This window comes from Homo sapiens, chromosome 15 (assembly GCF_000001405.40).
Source record: "Homo sapiens chromosome 15, GRCh38.p14 Primary Assembly".
Classification (NCBI taxonomy): Eukaryota; Metazoa; Chordata; class Mammalia; order Primates; family Hominidae; genus Homo; species Homo sapiens.
The window spans coordinates 76,361,405-76,380,977 of record NC_000015.10 but is presented as its reverse complement, the minus strand read 5'-3'; the positions used below and the strand labels follow the sequence as shown (position 1 = coordinate 76,380,977).

General features: G+C 42.5%; 1 protein-coding gene across 19 annotated transcripts in view, besides 1 other annotated feature; it reads left to right on the top strand.

Annotated features, from left to right (window-relative positions):
• SCAPER (S-phase cyclin A associated protein in the ER) overlaps positions 1-19,573 on the top strand; it is a 557,437-nt gene that overhangs the window by 524,363 nt on the left and 13,501 nt on the right. For all 19 annotated transcript variants that reach the window (NR_148227.2, XM_017022273.2, XM_011521653.4 and 16 more), the window contains one exon: positions 4,667-4,816. Coding sequence is in view for 18 of the 19 variants with exons in the window: in XM_017022273.2 (XP_016877762.1) it covers positions 4,667-4,816 (150 nt within the window). In the remaining variant the exon portion in view is untranslated. The remainder of the gene's footprint in view (positions 1-4,666; positions 4,817-19,573) is intronic.
• Positions 9,426-9,643: a silencer, noted in NCBI's record as "fragment chr15:76663676-76663893 (GRCh37/hg19 assembly coordinates)". NCBI's record gives its function as "represses an EF-1alpha promoter that drives an FKBP-Casp9 reporter gene in an ReSE screen in phorbol 12-myristate 13-acetate-treated (for megakaryocytic differentiation) K562 erythroleukemia cells {active_cell/tissue: K562(+PMA)}" and the evidence as "EXISTENCE:reporter gene assay evidence [ECO:0000049][PMID:32094911]".

The following is a 19,573-nucleotide window of genomic DNA, read 5'->3' as shown; positions in this document are numbered from 1 at the left end:
TCATCTCATCAACTTTTAAATATTAAGGAAAGTAATGGTTTCTTACGTAAATAGAACCAAAATTAGATAAATTGATTGATATGACTTTCTACGGATGGTTTAGCTGATTTTGTGTCCAATGTAAAGTGTATAACTAGCTTTACAGGGATTTGCATCTTTAGCTATGAAGTTTTTATAGCTAAAGAAAGAAGAATTGCTTTATGCTATAACACCAGACTGTCAGCCTGGAAACAGATTTTTTTTTTCATGTAGGAAATTTAATTTTCAAAAACACTGAACCTTTGGAACAGAGCAAGCCCCAAGGAATAGACTTTCTCTTTCAGTTTATTAACTGTCAAGTGATTTCATTAAAAAAGGAACAAATTTGGCAGATGATGAACCCATAATTTAGATGAATTGCTTTGCTCTGAGGGAAAAAGGTTATAGAGAAACAAATGTATGAAAATAGTGGACTTTGCCATTCTGAGATGAGAAGAATACTTCTATATTGTAGCTGATGACAAATGTGCCATTCTTTAATTGATGTCTTCCTGTCATTTTGTTCAAAAAAGGAAACTTGTGACTAAGTTGTATCATTGGATCTAGTATCTTTCAACTTTGTAGAATTAGTTTATCTGTCACAAGAACAGAAATCCCTTCCTTTGGGTTAATGCTTTTCTGTCTCCAGAGCAGTTGAACTAGCCTTAGGAGGTAACTGACTGCACAATACGTAGAGTTCTGGGAGGTTACAGCCACATATAAATGAGAGATATCTGCTCCAAAAAATGTCAGTAGTTCTTGCCTCAGGGTTGAACATAACATCTGTGTTTTATGAAGACGTAAGCCCACCGTATTCTGTCTGGAAACAGTTTGGAAATCAGGGAACCTTAACTTTACATGCTCAGGATATGGAGTCCACCAGTCTACCCATCAGCTGCGTCGAAAGGGAGTGATTTCTTTTGTTAACAGATTATGGAATAGCAAATATCTAAAAACTGTCTCTTAGCTTCCTGTTTCACGGGTCTTCTTGGCCAACATTTATACTGCTACAGGGGACTCCATATCATAAACAAGCATCTAGGATAAGTCAGCTGTTCGGTCAGTCACTCCATCAGGGAGCCCTAGGTCCCTGCTCCCTGCCCCTCTCCTCCTGTGAACTTGTGGCCTGTGCAGGCTCACTCACAAAGGCGCACCACTGAACTTCACCAGACCTGCTCCCTAGTGCCTTTAAGCCTAAAGGGCTTAATAATGGGCGATAATGTCAAGTGATTTCATTAAAAAAGGAAAAAGAAAAAAAAAAGGAAAAGAAAAAAATCAAAAAGAAAAATCAAAAGCCTATTTCTGGAATCCTTTGTGCCCAACTAAGATAAAAACATTTCTCCTTTCCAGATCCTTGCTATATCCATCTTGAAACTTATCCCCTACTTGAGCCACTTTTGCCGAAAACAGCAGGAATAAAACCAGAGTGGTTCAAGAGGGTTCAGCTATTCTCAAAATCAGGGTCTCTAGGGATAAAAAGAAATGAAATAACAAAATAAATAAAAAATAAATAAAAAACAATTATTCTCAAAATCAAATGCCCTGGCTCTCATTTGGAATGTCCTTTCTTGACTGGTTCTCACAATTCTCCAGTACCTTTTCTTCCTTCTTCTCATGCAACTCTATATTTCCTTCTCAGTTCTTTCCTTCCTGTTTTTTCTTCTTTTGTGTCTCTCTCCTGTCTCTCCTCTCTTATCAGTCTTGCCTTTACTCTTTCTCATTCTCTTCCTAGCTGTAGTTTCCAGGTACCCTTTACCCTTCATGTTTCTTTCTGACTCTTCATCAGCATGTGAGGGGACCTAAATGCCCAGAATTTCTAGCATCGGGGCCTTTAATATACCAATGACTACGTATTTTTTCTTAATTACTTTTATGCATTTAAAAACAAACAGATGAGCTTAGTGGGGGAAACAATTATTTCTGATCACAGATTCTAGGAGTTCAGAATTCAGATGGGGCTTATCACAGTGGAAATGGTTTGTCTCTGCTCCATGATGTCATGGCTACAGCTAGGAGCTAAAGTCATCTGGAGGCTCTTTACTGTCATGTTTGATGCCTGGGATGACTCAAAGACAAGATTCACCTAGGACTGGTGGCCAGAGCATCTACTACTGCTTCTCCATGTGACTTGGGCTTTTTAAAACACTATGGTGTCTCGATTCTGAGTGGGAGTGTCCTAAGAGGAAGCTTCCAGAAAGCAAGAGTTCCAAGAGAAACCAACAAAAGCTACAGGACTTTTTATGACTTAGCCTCAGAAGTCATATACTTACCTATCAACCATACTTTATTGGTTGAATCAGTCATAAGCCTTCCATATTCAAGGGAAGGGAAACATAGGCTTCACCAGCTAAAGCAACACATCTGTCTACATAGACACCATTTATGTAGATGGACGTGATCAAGAATATAATGCTTAAGTAAATTAAATACATAGTATTTGTACTGTATAGCAACGGATGAGTTTTCCAGAAAACTACTATTTTTGTGATAGTTATGGTCAGAGAAACTCATATTCTAGTTCATCAAAACAACTTACATGTCAAAAGTGAGATTTTAGGATCTATGTATGTAAAGGACAGGAAAAGAGATTTTAAGTGGAAAGAAGGAAGGTGTACATCTCAGCATGATCTGACCTCAGAAAAATCTGAGAGACAATTTATGAATTGCCTGGGAGGCTCAAAGGAATTGAAGAAAAAAACTGAGATAAATTGTCTGACCTGCTGCAGAGTTAGACAAGATGATATAAGACATGTTGATGATTTGGGTTCGAATGCATCACAAGAATACAGAGCTGTTACAGGGAGGCATCCTCATTAGACCCCTGAATCTGGAGTCAGAATGACCTGACTTTGAGCCATCACATTACCTCTTCAAATTGTATGACCTTAGACAAGTCATTTGAACACTTAAGACTCCATTTCCTCATCTGTAAAATAGAGATTAAGAACACCTACCTCACAAGACTATTTGAGGATTAAATATGATTGCATAAAAGTGCTGTGCTCACTAGCACATAGTAGGCCCTCAGAAAATGTGAACTGACTGAGTTTCTGAAAAGAAGAATTTACCTAAACAGACATGCTGAGTCAGAAGGTTGGAAACTGAATGCAGCATTCCCAGTGCTCCTTCACCCTTCTTCAAAGCCACAAACCTGTATGCTTATTTTGTGTGAGAACCCATCATGTAATAGTACAAAAGGTTATCCATTAGATTATTTTCCTAGCTGGTTCCATTTCATTGTATACCAATAAGGCTGTCAAAATATTTTTCCCTCTTCAGCAAAGAGTCTGATTTCACTCTGAATTCATATTGGCATGGGTGGCCTTGAGACTGGGGATATTGTATATTGCATTCAGTTTGACAGTTTTTACAATTGAAGGTGGTCTCAGGAAACAAATCAATGTACTGACTTGGCAATTAATTCTGGCTAAAAAGGAAATATAGTTTCCTTGAAAATTGGTTTAATTTTTATATTCAAACTTACATGCCCCTTGACCTGCTCTTATCAGTGAAGGTTAAACAGAGGGCACTGGGTCACAGCATGCTGGACGTGACTAATTAAATAAAGGCTGAGCTGAGAAGGTGTCACTGCTTGATTTAAAGGAGCAAAGTCCTTCTGAAGTCTCTTTGGGGCTTGAAAAACATTTTTTTGTTTTGGGGCTGTGAAACAGACAAAAGGCACTCTTAAAATTTAGCAGTAATTTTGTTTCAGGAATGCTCGCTAAAATGGCTCTGTTTCACCCACTGTTAAGTGAAGTGAATTCATTGAAACTTCCAAGGTGCAACGTATCCAACCTGGTTCAAGCCCACTAAGACCTCAAATCAAGAGATGAGTTTAAAACTCTGCCTTTTCCCACAGGCCAGCAGTGGTGCTTCATTCCAGTGTGGGCTGCGAGTATATTCTGTGGGCTTCGCCTCTCCCCTTTGCCCTCCTGTCGCTCTGTCTGTTTGACATGTTTATTAAATAGAAGCTGCAGGCTGCACAGACAGACTCAGACTCTCTTCTTGAGTCGCCCACCGCCGACAGCCCTTTGCCTGTCTGGAGAAAGGATCCCAGAAGTCCCATAGCTGAGGGATTTCATGGTTTTAGGGAGAATTTTTTGTTTTGTTTTTTTACATTCTTTTGGGAGCCTTCGGTTTATAGAGCTACTTATTTGAATAATAACTAGTTGTTATTTACATTTTTTGTTTAAACATAATTAGAAATATATGTTTAACTCTGTGTACAAGAAAATATTTTCTCCTTCAGAAAAAAAAGTGTTGGAATTTAGCTAAATGGTAGATTTACAGGTGAATTTTAGGTTCTTTATACTTTTCCAGATTTTCTCCAGTAAGAATATTTGTATATGAGAAAAATTAAGTTATTAAAAATAGAATAAATAACTGTGCTTTAGGTAGATAATGTCTTGATCCACGTGGTACAGGCATTTGGTCTACTACTGTCCCTTTTCAGGTTAAACATTGCATTTATTATGGGACATTTATTAGAACAAGAACCCCTAAACTAAAGCATTAAGCATAGTACTGTAGAAATGTCATGTTTTTCCACCACCATGGCAGAAAGTACACAGGGCCAGTCTTGCTTTGTGATTTGCAGCCCTGGCTCTCCCTGGGCTGAGGGCTTCTAACTGCTCCTTGTCTTTGTCAGTCTATTGTAGGGGCAGAGGGCTTGTCCCTTGCATTCCGGCACATGGCCAGCTCCCTGCTGGGCCACTGCAGCCAAGTCTCCTGTGAAAGCCTCCTTCATGAGGTCATCGTCTGTGTGGGCTACTTCACTGTCAACCACCCAGATAACCAGGTAAGAGGCCCTGGAAAGTTCCTTAGACTGCTCCCCCAGTGCTGAGAGTGTGAGGTATTGGAATGAGAAAAGGCAGGCTAGCGGGCTGGAACCCAAATGTCCTCTGTAAAGCCCTTTAACCAGACTGCAGGAATATGCCTCTAGCTCCTTCTCTTCAAATAGATTTTTTTTCTTTTGGAGACAGAGGCTCGCTCTATCACCCAGGCTGGAATGCAGTGGTGCAATCTCGGCTCACTGCAACCTCTGCCTCCCAGGTTCAAGCGATTCTCATGCCTCAGCCTCCCAAGTAGCTGGGATTACAGGCAACCGCCACCACATCTGGCTAATTTTTTGTATTTTTAGTAGAGATGGGGTTTTGCCATGTTGGCCAGGCTGGTCTTGAACTCCTGACCCTCAGGTGATCTGCCTGCCTTGGCCTCCCAAAGTGCTGAGATTACAGGCATAAGCCATCACACCTGGCCCTCTTCAAATAGATTTGATAAGAACTAGATTAGCCCTAGGGCCTCCTCTTAGAGCTATAAAAATAAAATATTTTTAATAAAATATTCTTAAGCCACAGAGAAGCATGTACTCTCTTACCATGTAGATTGTTTACTATCTACTTCCTTACCACATGGAGTCTGCTGCTCTAGCTATCAGGGTTTTTGTTTTGATAAGGTAGTTTACATCTTCCAAGTTGGGTCACTTTTCATATAGTATTAGAGTCTGGTGCTCTATGAAACTGTTCTTGGCTCCTGGCTTCTGCCTAGGTGCTTAGAGCCTTCCTTTGGTGTTGGTGAGAGGCTGAGAGGGTAGGACTCTCCCGCTTAGGTCACTCAGAGTAGTTTTGCTTTAAACTGCTTTAATTATTTGGTTTCTGAGCAAGATTTCATAGATTTAAAAAAAAAAAAGATTTCATAGATTTCATTTGTAAATAGGTTTCTGCTTTTTTTTTTTTTTTTTTTTTGACAAGTTCTTGCTCTGTCATTCAGGCTGGAGTGCAGTGGCATGATCATGGCTCACTGCAGCCTTGACCCCCTGGGCTCAAGCGATCCTCCCATCTCAGCCTCCTGAGTAGTTGGGTCTACCGGCGGGTACCATCACACCCAGCTAATTTTTGCAGAGACGGGGCTTTGCCACATTGCCTAGGCTGGTCTTGAACTCCTGGGCTCAAGCAATCCTCCTGCCTTGGCCTCCCAAAATGCTGGGATTACAGGTGTGAGCCACCACACCTGGCTTGCTTTCTGCTTTTTTAAGATGCTGGAAAATCTGTTATAGATTTTTTACTAATAATAAAGTACCTTATTTCTCTTTATCTTTGAAACTGGGATTATGGCATAACTAGCATATCAAATAGTAATTCCTGACAACCTCATTCATCTAAAGCCCCCTACTTGGCCGGGCGCAGTGGTTCACGCCTATAATCCCTGCACTTTGGGAAGCCGAGGCAGGTGGATCACCTGAGGTCAGGAGTTCGAGACCAGCCACATACTCACCAACATGAAGAAACCCCGTCTCTACTAAAAATACAAAATTAACCGGGCATGGTGGCGCATGCCTGTAATCCCAGCTACTCGGGAGGCTGAGGCAGGAGAATCGCTTGAACCAGGAGGCAGAGGTTGCGATGAGCCGAGATCGCGCCATTGCTCTCCAGCCTGGGAAACGAGCAAAACTCTGTCTAAAAAAAAAAAAAAGCCCCCTACTCAGCCAACCTTAATTGTATAGATTGTAGCTAAGATTAAAAAAAGCCTCTGAACAACCCCTTAACTCTTACTCTAAACTTTTGTGTTTTTTTGAGACAGTGTCTTGCTCTGTCACCCAGGCTAGAGTGCAGTGGCGTGATCTTGGCTCACTGCAACCTCTGCCTCCCGGTTCAAGTGATTGTCCTGTCTCAGCCTCCTGAGTAGCTGGGATTATAGGCACCCACCACCGTGCCCAGCTAATTTTTTTTATTTTTAGTAGAGACAGGGTTTCACCATCTTGGCCAGGCTGGTCTCAAACTCCTGACCTTGTAATCCACCTACCTTGGCCTCCCAAAGTACTGGGATTACAGGTGTGAGCCACTGCCCCCAGCTTTCTAATTTTTCTGATTAAACTTTCTAATTTTTATTGTAGGCAAATCTCTAACAAGTGTGTTTGCAAGGTTTATCTAGCCTACAGCAAACTAGATCTGGGCAGGAATAAAAGAGATGGTTGTGGTGGCAGAGCCAAGTACAAGGTGAGAAGCTGTACAACGAGAGCTGAAATTGCTTTCCTGAGAAGGAGAAAAAAGACAAAAAAAAAAAATAAGGCAGGCCCAAGAACTCGGAAGTCACAGCCATCTGGGTTCAGAGGGACACTAAGCCCTGCTCTGTATTTCCTAGATGATTGTTGATGCCTCTGATACCTCAAGTAAGCATGGAGGCAAAGTGTATGTTCAGTGCATTCCCTGAACCGCACTGCAGGAATAAGCAGTCTGTTCTAGAAAGATTCCCATGGCTAAAATATAGACAGTTTGGATCCTTACCAGAATATTATACACAGAAAAGTTCCCCTTTTACAGACCCTGTTGCCAGGGGAGTAGATGGCAGCTTTTTCTCCCCTCCTACCTCTACAGCACAGACAGTGTCCTTCCCTTTCAAACACTCCCTGATGGGGATGCTCTGTCCTCTCTGTGGACCAGGCCTAGTAGGTTCACAGATCTCTTACAAACTGCTCAGGGGAAGGAAAGTTGAGGGAAATCATCCGTGTAGATTTTTTTTTTCTTCATGTGCATCCATTCAACCTATTAAATTGCTTTTTATTTTCTCTTAAAAGTTGATTTTATTTTCTGATTTTAGTTATTGTGAAAAAGGGCAGCCAGCGCAGTAGCTCACGCCTGTAATCCCAGCACTTTGGGAGGCCGAGACGAGTGGATCACCTGAGGTCAGGAGTTGGAGACCAGCCTGGCCAACATTATGAAACCCTGTCTCTACTAAAAATACAGAAATTAGCTGGGCGTGATGGCAGGCGCCTGAAATCCCAGCTACTCAGGAGGCTGAGACAGGAGAATTGCTTGAACGTGGGAGGCGGAGGTTGCAGTGAGCCAAGATCGTGCCACTGTACTCCAGCCTGGGAGACAGAGCGAGACTCTGTCTCAAAAAAAAAAAAAGAAAGAAAGAAAGAAAAAGGAAAGAAAGAAAGAAAAAGACAGGGCAAGTATAAAGAAAAAAATGGAATCACATTTATTCCTGATCTCACTATCTGAGATAGCCACTGTTAACATTTTGGCAGATTCCCCTCCAGCCTCTTTTCTATGACTAATTTTACATGGCTGAGGTCATGCTGTACAAATGCTTGCGTCCTGCTTTATGCACTTAACATTATATCAGAATCTTTGTTAAGTATTTTTAATGGCTGTATGGCTTTATCTTGTATGGACATTCATGGTTTACCTAAAAATGTCTTGTTTTATACTTAAATTGTTTATCATATATTGACACTGCCTACTGCCTTTGAAAGAGGTGAGTAATTTGTATATGTGATAATATTTTGCTGTGTGCAGTTCTGCAGGACAAAGTTCAGCGCTTTTGGTGCATTTCATATTAAGGATGGTTTAAAACTTTTTGCTTAAACCAACTCTGTTATGATAAACTTACTGAACTCAGAATTTCATGGGATTTCAGACGGTTTTTCTGCTGATGCTGGATCACAGACTAATCCTCTCCTTTAGATAAAACACACAATTTTGGCATCTCTGGGCTCCGAGTTAAGGGGCATCAGGGATGGGTGACTCATATTTGGAGATGGCATGTAAGACCTGACTTGGACATGGTGGGAAAGTGATGACTGGGAATGCTGGGATGGGGAAAAAAAGCAGATGAAATGGGTGGAGAGAGCACTGGTCAACACAAGGAGGAGGAACAGACTGAGACCCTGTCACTTGTCAGTTGGAGAAGAAGAGGATACAGTGAGGTTTGAAGATCCTTGGTGAGAGGTAAGCTCATGCTGAGGAAGAAATTAGAAAAGTGAAAAAAGCCAGACCCTGTGTTTCAACACCTTGCCTCCCAGAAGGATGGAATACTAAACTGGACATCCACTTCTGATTTGAGGGAAGTTTACAGAGGTCAGTTTACATCTGGGGCAGTTGCTGAAATGCAACAATCTATGAGAAGAAAGAACAAGATTAAAAAAAAAAGGTAGAGAAGTAAGAAGCTGATAGAAAAGATAGTAATTCTAAGAAGCTGAGACACTGCACATTATGGAGATGATATTTCTAAGCATAATATTTATTTATTTTTTTTTTGAGACAGAGTTTCGCTCTTGTTGCCCAGGCTGGAGTGCAGTGGCACCATGTTGGCTCACCACAACCTCCGCCTCCTGGGTTCAAGCGATTCTCCTGCCTCAGCCTCCTGAGTAGCTGGGATCACAGGCATGCGCCACCACGCCCGGCTAATTTTGTATTTTTAGTAGACACGGGGTTTCTCCATGTTGGTCAGGCTGGTCTCGAACTCCTGACCTCAGGTGATCCACCCACCTCGGCCTCCCAAAGTGCTGGAATTACAGGAATGAGCCACCACACCCGGCCGTATGTTAGAAATATTATAAGCCAGGCATGGTGGCTCACGCCTGTAATCCCAGCACTTTGAGAGGCCGGGGTGGGCGGATCACAGGGTCAGGAGCTCGAGACCAGCCTGGCCAACATGGTGAAACCCCGTCTCTACTACAAACACAAAAATTAGCCGAGCGTGGTGGCACACGCCTATAATCCCAGCAACTGGGAAGGCTGAGGCAGGAGGACTGCATGAACCTGGGAGGCGGAGGTTGCGGTGAGCCGAGATCACGCCACTGCACTCCAGCCTGGGTGACAGAGCAAGACTCCGTTTCAACAAAAAAAAAAAAAAAGAGAGAGAGAGAAATATTATAAGGTAGAAATACCTTATATTTGTAGAGTTCTTTATACTATTCTTGCCATCTCTTGTCTCTTGAACCTCAGTAGCACTTTAGTGAGGCTGTAAGTACAGGAATTATTCTTACCTCACAGACAGATGAGCAGTTGGGCTTCTAAAAGATAAAGTAAGCTCCCTGAAATGACACAGAGAATCATTTCTCTATGAAAGATCAGGGCTAGCATCCAGGTTTTGCAAAGCCCAACTCAGTGTACTTTTCATTTCATCTTACGTTGCTTAAGAAGGCCAGGCATGTAACAGGTACCATCTGCTAGCGATCACTGAAGTGCACCTTGGCTAGCGGTGGGGGGTGTAGAAGATGATGCGGGTTCACCAAGACAGTACATTTCAGAAACTGCCATTCTTTCCCTTAGATGCTGACTGGAAAGCTTCTAGGGCCTATCTGTGTGCCTTATTCAGGGAGACTCATAAAGATCTTGGAAAGTGTAAATGAACATGTTTTATGAGTAGAAATGGTCCACAATTTAGCAGATAGAAAGCCTGGGTTCTAGCCCCAGCTCTGCCATTAGCTGTGTGATCATAGATAAATTCTTTCCCCTCTTGAGGTTTGAACATCACTGACTCTACAAAGAAGCAAATTGGTTCTGGAAGTGGATAGCAGTGACAGTTGCACAATATTGTAATTGTGGAGTTAAAAATAGTTGAAATGGGGCCAGGCGTGGTGGCCCAAGTCTATAATCCCAGCACTTTGGGCAGCCGAGGCAGGCAGATCACTTGAGGTCAGGAGTTTGAGATCAGCCTGACCAACATGGCAAAACCCCATCTCTACTAAAAATACAAAAATCAGTCAGGTGCTGTAGTGCATGCCTGTAGTCCCAGCTACTTGGGAGGCTGAGGCAGGAGAATCGCTTGAACCCGGGAGGCAGAGGTTGCAGTGAGCCGAGATCATGCCACTGCACTCCAGCCTGGGCGACAGAGGAAGACTCTGTCTTTAAAACAAAAAAAAAAAAAAAAAAAAAAAAATTGAAATGGTAAATTATATGTTATACATATTTTACACAATGAAGTAAACAAAAAAGAAGTGGATTATACTAGATGACCTCCCCTGTGAGTTCCATGAGTCTGTGACATTTTAAAGGCTGAAACTAGAACCACAGAGCAGCATTTTGATCTCATGGGGACTCCAAGCTATTTTGTGGTTTTCCATACCTTCCTTACCCTACTCCAGATTCCACCTGCAGCAGACAGCTTAATGAGCTGCCTGCCTACTGTGTGGCAACTTATCATTAAAAACTCAGTATACTTTGGCTCCTCACTATTAGTAGAGGGAGCCCAATGACGGACACTTATAAGCAGACTTCTTACAGGTGAGATGTCATGTACCTTGCTCTGTGATGCCATCTTCAGCCACAGTTGATTTACATGCACTAAAGGCTGTGCTCCCCAGCTCATGGCTGTACTCCATGCCAGTCAGGCTGCGGGGCAAGGGCAGGGTATAGGAATAGCCACAGCTTGCTGAGGTGATAACTGCTCATATCCCAATAGAGTTGGGAAGTTTTCTATAACTGAAAAGTTAATTGTTAGTTTGATTTCACTTTTAAAACTAGTTCTATTAAATTCCCTTTCTACTGCCCCCACGAAATCCAGTAATTTGCTAAGCGAGCATTTGCTAAGAGGGTGTGGTAAGTTTAGTTTTCAGCACTGGCCTTAGCTTCTTCAGTCATAGATTCATGGCACCTTCATCCTAGAAGGGCTCTGGGAGATATCTAGTCCATCTCCCTCATATTGTAGGTGGAGGAACTGAGGCTCAGAGAAGGAAAAGGAATTGTCAAGCGAGAATTGGCAGAGCCCAGCCTCACCACTGGCAGTTCAGTGAGTTTCCACCTCACTTCTATACTTAAGAAGTGAATCTGTTTCGCCTGTTGCCACTTTCTGTAAATCAGAGGAAATTCACAGGAGAAATTAGATGCTCAATTCATTTAATATTTCCTTATCATTAGTCAGAAGTCATGTTAATTTACAGAACCAATTTGTCCACAGGGCATCATAGATTTCCTACTGGGAAAGCAGCTTGTGTCTTTATAAGACAGGGCATCCTGAAAGCCTGCTGCAGCCTACTGTTTGATTAGGTAACTGCTTTGCATAAAGGATTGGCACTTTTTATTTGCCACCATTTAGTCTATTAACTGGAAAGACTGAGCCCCTTGATACCAAGGATGACTTGAGAAGAGAAACCTGGATAATAAAAGTGACGTCCCATCCTTGATGGAATGAATCTTCTGTTTCCTATAGGGTTGCAGTTTCTAATTAAAATGTTGTTTTAATCAAAAGATTCCCTGTATTTTATGGCATTTTCTTGACTCTTTCTAAATTCCTTCCCATTTAATTATTATAATGAACATAATTAGTATGTGCTGTCAACCCCTCACTTTATTTACATTTTGTATTAGATAATTAAATGTGGTCTGATAATTAAATTAACTCAAATGACTGATGATTTGACTGCCTGCATATTACTATATTGGGAATATGCACCTTTGCGTACTCATTTTGTTTAGCAACTGGCTTTTTCATTTGGAAAGGCCCCATAGATTGCAGCTATCAGAGTTGGAGTTTCTTGTGATCCCTGAAAGGAAGGATCCCCTTAACCCCTTTGCCCCCATTGAGCTCTCTCTAGTGAAGTCCATGCTGATCATGTAACTGTCTGCTCTGCACCACGCCCTGTCAAAGGCTCCTGAAAGCTTCTGGGCGGATCAGAACAGGCAAGTAAGTTGGACAGCGAAGCTCGTGAAACTTGGTTCTGCCTGAGCTGCATGCCATGCATTTTCCAGCTCTCTTGTAACTCAGTGACTTAGTGAGAAACGCCAAACGTTAATTTGACTACAAATTCCGAAAATGAATCTGTTGTACTCACCTCGGGTGTTTCCCCACGCACAGAAATAAGGAGTGGTTTCCTAGAGTCATTGTGTGTTAAGAGTGGCAGTTTTCCAGAATCCCATTCCAGCATTTAGAACTTTTAGAGTTGGCTTAATTCCTGCTCAAACATTTTTACTTCACTCTTTGCCTCAAAGGCAGATGGTCAGTCCTAGGTCACACCCACTTGGTAAACTCCCTTAGCCCCATCCCAGTTCGTGAATGGAGGCTGCGGTGGTGGGCTCAGAGTGGAAACTCCAGCACTCAAGGACTTTCTGTTCTCCCAGAGTTGGCAGCTTATTCTTTAGCTGTCACACAAGCATTCAGCTTTCTGTATTTCCTTTCTTTGTGTGACAGATACGTTCCTTTCATAAAATAGAAATACATCATGTCTAAGGAAGAGCCTGAGTTTCAGCAGTGCAACCATTTTGGAACCAAGTTACTCTCAATATTATAGCACCAAAGAAAAAAATGTGGGTTTTTTTTTCCAAAAGTAGAGCAAAAATTCTTAATTAAAAATGATTTATACCTAAATATTTATTTTGAGACTTCTGATGAGTGAACTGGCTGACATAAGAACGGAGAAATTTGCCAGTTAGCAATTTTGGCCAATTGCATTAAAAGTTACCAACTTCACAGAATCCAAATAAAAGATACCTTTTATTTTCTTCATTGTTTTAGTGAATTTTTCCACACAAGGGTAGTTCAAAGTGCCGCATGCTCACACTAGATACATTTTTTACTCCACAAACCTCTGAGAGGTCAGAAGGAACTCCTGGCTTGCCTGAGTGGCTGTGTTGCCAGGACGTCAACTGAGGTAGGCAGCAGCCAGCCTGAGGGGCTGCTGCCAGGTCAGGAGTGTGCACGAACCTCAGTTATCCTTTGCTCACTTGAAAATCTTCTATTGGGGTATCAAATCAACACAAGAAAATGAGGCCAGAAGGAATCTTTTATCAAAGTTTAATTCATGACCAGTTTTTCTGGACTTGCCTTGGTCTTCAGCCATGGAGGGGGTGTTTGTAATAAAAATCACTCTGAGATAAGACTGTATAAAGGCTTAGGCTGTAATCACAGGGAACACCTCTCCTGAGATAGGAGATTTTATATAAGACCCTCATCAGTTACAGAAAGCCCATCACAATGGAACAAATATTGGTACAGCAGTCAGGACTGCTGGATCCTTTTACAGCTTTACAGCTGTTTGACACTGGGTAAGTCACTGCCCTTCTCTGAGCTTTAGTTTCCTGTCTGTATAAAGAGTTAGCCTGGGTGCTCTGAAGAAGCCTTTCAGCTCTGATAGAGGAAGAATAGATAATTATAAGATGAATTGGGAAGTCATGGCCAGACCAGCTGTCAGAACATGGTTCCCCATCTGTGGAGAACCTGTGAGAAGCGTCTGCCTACAGGGTTCCTCTGTGGACCAAAACATGTAGAAGTACAGAGGATCCTCCCACCTCAGAGTCTCAGGGCTGCCACTCAAAACACTGTTTTGACACAGCTGCCAAGGGGACTTTGGAGTATCAGTCTGGTTCTGGTCAGCTGCCAGCTTCCCTTCCCAAAGGGGCATGCCTGGTTCACCTGGACACACCTGACAGGTGATAAACCTATTCTTGTCTGGAAGGCAGTGAAGGAGAATCTCCACTCACCACCTTGGGCTATAGAAGTGGGAGGGAAGGAGAACTCACACCCAAATAATTATTTTATGTATGGGCAACTGCTAAACAAAACACACCACAGAGACAACTCAGAGGTGCATTGAGATTGTGTTAGGAAAAGAAACTGGAGAATGGCTCAATGAATCAATGTGAACATTTAATGGGCCTTAATTGGAACCTTATCCTACTATACTTAGAGCAGAGAGATGAAAGCAGAAGAAATCCGAGAGACCATTTATTTCACTTGAGAAAGCAGTAAACTGGAAACTCCAAAAAGATTTGATGACTATTATATTTTTATGATTAAATAAAATTGTCATAGACTAGTGCTGGAGAGCCCATAAATGTTCCGTGGAATGTATCCATGCTGTCTGGCAGCTATTAGGTTATGACCAGAAAACCTATCAGCCCATGCACTGCATTTATTAACCCTCCTGTTCTCATAACACCCAAAAGCTCCATAGTAAGGAAAGTTTGTCCTCAGTTCTCACAGGAAAGTTCCAGACCCTACTTAGAACCTTTGAATTTTAAGGCATTATTAAATGCTGTCCATTCATCTGCCCACCTCCCTGTGCCTCCATGCACATATCCCGTTAGTCTATAATGGACATAATCTTTCCAGTAGTGTGTGTGTGTGTGTGTGTGTGTGTGTGTGTGTGTAAGTGTGTAAGTAATCAGTTCTCTTTTCTTAAATAAGCTAGATTAGAAAATCAGGATAGGTACTCATTGAGAATTTGGGGGTGGCATATTTTATGTGATGACTTTTTTCCTTTGTAAGAAAAAAATATTATAAGCGCCTTCTCTTTTTACCATGTTTAAATGTCGTACCTATGCAGGTATGGGCAGCATAGGATGCATAAGTGCACGATTGCCATAGCACAGGATTATATTATGTCTGCAGGTTCACAGGCCTTCAGAGATCATCTATTCAAACTCCCCTCATTTCCAGAGAGGAGAAGGACTTACTCCACGTCACTGGAACCAGGCCTCCTGATATATTATCCAGGGCTTTCTGTGACCAGCCTTCCTCCCATCCCCAGCCCCAATGGTAAAAGAGACACAGATAATGCAAATATTCAAAAAAAATCCAAAATAAAGTAGTTTCTCAAATTTACGATGATATGGTGAGTCTGTATAATTTACAAGGTCAGTGTTCTATAGATAGGGTTCTTTCTCAAATGTAAATTAAAATGGAAGCAGCACTTGCTGCCATTGTCCCTGATTAGCTGTAGAGCCCATGACTTTTAGCTTAGCCAAGTCTTTGAGAAAATCTAGCCCAATTTTCTTGTGCTGTGTTTGAACAGAATTTAAAATATGCTTCATTTAAAAAGTAACTCTTCTCACAGAATAGACAACATGAAAGAAGGAAAAAGAGGCCCTAACACAGAAGACTGGAAGGTAACTCATTCTTGGAGAAATGCCAGTATTGTTAGCTTTTCATCCCTATGAACATTCATCACTCATTCCTTCTCTCATTTATCAGCTTTTACAAAATGCCCACACTGTGTCAAACCATGTGCTAGGAGATGCAGAAATGAACACAACCCAATCCTTGTCCTTGTGACATCCACAGCCAGGGGCAGTGCCTTCAGTGCTGAGACTCATTCCTTCCTTCAGCAGACATTTATTGAGTGCCTGCAGTGTGCCAGGCACTGTTCCAGACATCCAGGATACAGTGGGAAGCAAAACAGACAAAGTCCCTGCCCTCAAGTTGCTGACATTCTCGGGGCTGGGGGAAATAATTAACAAACCTGGATCTATGCCAGAGGTTTGAGATGTAAAATGGCCTGGCAGGTTCAGGGGACTGCAAGCTGTTTATTCTAACTGGAGCTCAGGATGTAGGAGAAACAAGAGCTAAGACTAAAGAGGCAGGCAGGGTCCAGGTCAGGAGGGACCCAAGAACTTGAGGATTGATCCCCTCAGAGATGAGGAGCCCCTAAGTGTTACAAGCAGGAGAATGACACGCTCAGACTATGTTCCAAAGTCCCGGATATGGAGAATGGTAGGTGAGCATCAGACTTCCACACTGAAGCCCCAGGGCTGTAAACAAGCATCCCTGGTTCTGAAGCATTATTCTCCCCTGCAGGAATAGAATGATGTTTGAGGAGGGGAAAAGCCTTTTTTGCATTCCTCTGCTACTGGTACCAAGCACACAGCCTTTTCCCATAGGAAGCAGACAGCAGCTGGTCAGGGGCCATCTCACTCAGTTTCCCTGGAGGGACACAGCAAAACAGCCATTCACCCCTCACTACATGAGAAAAGCCCTTGTTTCTTTAGCATCACCTTATTTCCAAAGCCTATAAAAGGCAAGCCCCCAACTACTGGCTTTTTAGCTTCTTCTGGTGATCCTGGCTACTTTCTTTCCTCTTTCCCTTCTTCCTTCTCTCTCATCCCTCCTCGTCCTTGACACTTTGCTGGTGCTAGAGAGCAGTGGATCCCTGGGACCACCGGGAAGAAGGCTAGTGCTTAAAGGGCCTACTTCCCACATGGTCTGCCAAGGCTGCTGTACTTAATCTCAGTTTGGAAATCATCTAATGGAAGAAGCAGATCTGGGAGGACAGGAATTTGTTTGCGGTGCTAGCCAAAGGACTCTTTGTGTTTCTCTGCACTGATTTTGACTTGATCATGTATATGCATAGACTCTTTAAACTTTTCTCCTGTGATATTAAAATAAAGCCACTTCTGTACCCTCCCTACCCTAACCCCAAGGTATCAGATTAAGCAAGGTGTGTGTGTTTGGGGCATGCCATATTCTTTATGACACATAGAGGTCATTGGCCTCAAGGACCCTCTTGTCATATTGCTCCTAGGCCTGGTCTTCAGGTGTGACAAACTTGGTAAGAGCAATGTGGACAGAGATGCTTGGCTCTTGCACTGGCCTCGCCTGGCCACCGCAGCTGCTGCCTTTTTACTATAGCATTGTAGCAGGACCAGTTTTGTGGAGAGGAATGCAGGAACTACTTTATTTCTGCTCTGCTAGAAAAATATTCTTTGTTCCAATGATTTACAAACTCTCTCTGCTGTCTTTTTTAATGAATTTAGATGTCTAGACACCTATTTTTGCCCCTGTTAAGGACACCTTGTCTCTGACAAGGGAAAAAGTAAAACAAGAATTCTTAGGCATAAAGAATTTGCCCTGGTGAAATTTAACTATTTACATTTCTGACTCCATGTACCACTCACCCTACCACACCAACCAATGGAACCGATTTGGCCTTAGGTTTTGACAGGTGCTTACAAAGCCAGCAGAAAGAAGCTGCTTCTGCCCTACCCTACCCCTCCTCTCTGTGGCACTGTGCCAAGAGGCTGTTGGACCAGTTAGGGTGCTGGCCAAAATACTCAGCTAACTGTTCTCACACATAGAAAGATGGTGTTATCTGAGTCCTTGAAGGCCCGGGATGGGTAGGCCCAGAGCTCTGGTGTGGTAGGTACAGGCTCCCTGGAGTAAGGATTTGGTCCTCAGTCATTCATTCCCCAGATAGTTAATGAACACCTGTTGTTTTCCAGGCACTGTGTTAGACACTATGCCAAATACTAGGAATACAGCAGTGAATATAGGGGGCTTAACCATTATCCTTACAGAGCAGACAGCCTTGAGACTGTTGAAACTGGGGATTCATAGCAGTCTGTCTTTGCCTAAACAACTGCTCTGGTATCTGGAGCAGGGCCGTATGTGGTTCTGTCTTCTGGTCTGTGGCAGGCACAGTGCTGGGGTCCCAGTGACATAAGTGTTTAGAAACTTGCCAGACGGCCTTCTGGGGTAAAAAACAACTAATAAAAATAACACAATATGGAGAGCTTTCTAAAACCACTGATGGAGTTCTCCTAAATAAGGAGAAAATGCAGGATCACTCTTAGGTCTTAGCAAAATCAGAAGAGGCAGAGTGTAAGTAGGTAAAAGAGAACTTGACCATTTTCTGTTCTGTTTCCTTGAATATAAGTGAGTTCTAAAGAGCTGGGAATTTTACTATAGGACATCCTGGGTTTATCTATTATGTATGTAGATTATATAAGAGAGAGAAAGAGAGAGAGCAAGGGCTGAGCGCAGTGGCTTACACCTGTAATCCCAGCACTTTGGGAGGCCGAGGTGAGTAGATCACAAGGTCAAGAGTTCAAGACCAGCCTGGCCAACATGGTGAAACCCCATCTCTACTAAGGATAAAAAAATTAGCCGGGCATGGTGGCACCTGCCTGTAATCCCAGCTGCTCGGGAGGCTGAGGCAGGAGAATTGCTTGAACCCAGCAGGCAGAGGTTGCAGTGAGCCAAGATGGCACCACTGCACTCCAGCCTGGGCGACAGAGCAAGACTCCATCTTGAAAAAAAAAAAAAAGAGGGAGCAAGAAACTACTACAGACCTTTTTCTACTTTATTTTTATTATTTAGTGTCATGGTTTGGTATGGTCAGGGAATAAACTATTCCCATATAAGTGAATTTTTCAGATGACCAAATTTACCTTTAAAAAACAATATGTGGGCTGAGCGCGGTGGCCCATGCTTGTAATCTCAGCACTTTGGGAGGCCGAGGCGGGTGGATCACCTGAGATCAGGAGTTCGAGACCAGCCTGGCCAACATGGTGAAACCCCGTCTCTACTAAAAATACAAAAATTAGCTGGGTATGGTGGTGGGTGCCTGTAATCCCAGCTACTCGAGAGGCTGAAGCAGGAGAATCGCTTGAACCCGGGAGGTGGATGTTGCAGTGAGCAGAGATTGCACATTGCACTCCAGCCTGGGCAAAAACAGTGAAACTCCCTCTAAAAAAAAAAAAAATGTGTTTAACATTAACTTTCCAGTCCCTTTTACAATATTATGATGTCTCCTTCCATCTTAAACCAGTTATGCTGAATGTATTATGTATTTTTTGATGCCTTCAGAAATGAGTTCCTACTACGATGTTAAGGCACATTACTATTATTAGGTATGTGGAAGCAGATTTTTAAAGTGTAGCATACTAAGTAAGGATAATTGGTTATAATTAATAAGATATTTTACTACAATACAGTAATGCTCTCTCAAGACCAACTGAAAAGGGTTGAGATACTTTTACACCAAATGATTCTAGGCAACTTTTTGAATTCTCATGTCTGCTTAAAATAATTTTAATTCTCACGCCTTCACTTACTAATGTCAGCTGGTGCTTCTTCCTCTTGTCAATTTATTTAAACCAGCAGTGTCTTTTCTAATTGCTGATTTCAGTCTACTCTAGGCCAGAAAGCCCACTTTTATTAGACTTGCTTCTGAAATGTGACTTGGTAGATTGAGTTGGAGCTTGGAAGACTTTCTTGTAAGTAACTGGTGTGGATTTTGTGGAAAAACTGGGCACTCGGTGAAGGCAAGAATGTC